The 2,198-nt window shown below is 41.9% G+C and overlaps 1 annotated feature.

Moving 5' to 3' along the window:
* Nucleotides 482-990: an enhancer, noted in NCBI's record as "NANOG hESC enhancer chr4:118045000-118045508 (GRCh37/hg19 assembly coordinates)". NCBI's record gives its function as "activates a minimal SCP1, AML or CMV promoter by ChIP-STARR-seq in primed H9 embryonic stem cells {active_cell/tissue: H9 hESC(primed)}" and the evidence as "EXISTENCE:reporter gene assay evidence [ECO:0000049][PMID:30033119]".

Below are 2,198 nucleotides of genomic sequence, written 5' to 3' on the forward strand. Positions count from 1 at the left end.
GGCCTTTCCTAATTAGCTATATCAGAAGTCATAGTAAACCTATAATATGGAAAGAAGATAAAAATATTAACTAACTGTTGTGAGAAGTCAGGGATGCCAAACAGAGGGACCAGCTGAAGCCATGGCAGAAGAACGTGGATTGAGAAGATTTTATGGACATTTATTAGTTCCCCAAATTAATACTTGTGTAATTTCTTATGACTGTCTTTACTGAGTCTCTAAACATAAATTGTAAAGATTTCATGGACACTTATCACTTCCCCAATCAATACCCTTGTGATTTCCTATGCCTGTCTTTACTTTAATCTCTTAATCCTGTCAGCCGAGGAGGATGTATGTCACCTCAGGACCATGTGATAATTGCATTAACTGCACAAATTGTAGAGCATGTGTGTTTAAACAATATGAAATCTGGGCACCTTGAAAAAAGAACAAGATAACAGCAATGTTTAGGAAACAAGAGAGATAACCTTAAACTCTGACCGCCAGTGAGCCGGGCAGAACAGAGCCATATTTCTCTTCTTTCAAAAGCAAATGGAAGAAGTATCGCTGAATTCTTTTTCTCAGCATGGAACATCCCTGAGAAAGAGAATAAGCGCCTGGAGGTATCAGCTTATAAACAGCCCACCTGGGTGTGGCCTGTCTCTTATGGTTGAGACTGCAGGGGTGAAATAGACTCCAGTCTCCCATAGCGCTCCCAGGCTTATTAGGAAGAGGAAATTCCCGCCTAATAAATTTTGGTCAAACCGGTTGATCTCAAAACCCTGTCTCCTGATAAGATGTTATCAATGACAATGGTGCCCGAAACTTCATTAGCAATTTTAATTTCACCTCGGTCCTGTGGTCCTGTGATCTCGCCCTGCCTCCACTTGCCTTGTGATAGTCTATTACCCTGTTAAGTACTTGATGTCTGTGACCCACACCTATTTGCACACTCCCTCCCCTTTTGAAACTCCCTAATAAAAACTTGCTGGTTTTTGTAGCTTGTGGGGCATCATGAATCCTAACAAAGTGTGATGTCTCCCCCAGACACCCAGCTTTAAAATTTCTCTCTTTTGTACTCTGTCCCTTTATTTCTCAAGCTGGCTGACACTTAGGGAAATAGAAAAGAACCTACATGATTATCGGGGCAGGTCCCCCTATAAATAACTGATAATTAGAACAAAATATGCTCTGTTTCAAAAATACTTAGGAACTATTTGTTTTATATGGCTGCTATAAAAATTATCATAAATTAGTGGCTTAAAACAGCAGAAATCTATTATGTTACAGTCTGGAGGCCAGAGTCTGAGATCAAGGTGTTGGCAGGTTTGTGCTCTTTTGAGCAACTCCAGGGAGAATCTTTCCCATTCCTCCCTCCTAGCTTAGCTTCTGGTGACTACCTTCAATTCTTGGCATTCGTTGTCTCATAGCTCCACCACGCCAATCACTACCCTCTTTATATAATCTTCTCCTCTATGTCTTCTCTTCTTCCTGTCTTAAATTTCTCTCTGCCTTCTCTTACAAGGACTCCTATCATATTTTGGTCCACCTGGATAATCCATTATTGTCTCAACTCAACATCCTTAACTTAATCACGTCTGCAGAGAATGCTTTTCCAAATAAGAAAACTCACAGGTTTAGGTGATTTGACAGAGATATCTTATAGGAAACCGTTTTTTTCTGCCTACCACAGGGAGTAATCTTCAATTGTGTGATATTAATTAATGTCATCCTCCCAAATTAAGGGCTTGTAAGGTAAATGGATGTGCTTTAGTCAAGAATAGGCCAAGGAAAACATCCTGCATGACTCAGTGGGATTGGAGTGCAGGTGCACAATTCCATGCATTATATAATCACAGCTATGTAGCCATAACATGGGGAGAATCCTCACTTGGCTTGGAGCCACTGTTGTTTGTAAAAGGTATAACTACCCTGCTGATACTGTACATGCTGCATGCGCCCAGAGAGAAAAAGTTAATCTGCTGACCGTGTGAGGGAGAGCTATCCATCCTGCAGGTGGACAGTGGGGAGCCAATAGCCAGCAAGTGTGCCAGGGAATGCAACTTTAAGTGTGGGAGCAGCAGGCGCTGCAGAGCTGGCTGCTAAGAGAGGCTGCAGTTGGAGCAGGCAGCCAAGATAAAGATGGACAGTTTGAGAGAGCTGCTGAATAAAACCATATTTCACCTGCCTACAGCCCCCCACTGAGTGTTCTTTCA

The sequence above is a fragment of the Homo sapiens genome, chromosome 4 (assembly GCF_000001405.40).
Source record: "Homo sapiens chromosome 4, GRCh38.p14 Primary Assembly".
Taxonomy (NCBI): Eukaryota; Metazoa; Chordata; class Mammalia; order Primates; family Hominidae; genus Homo; species Homo sapiens.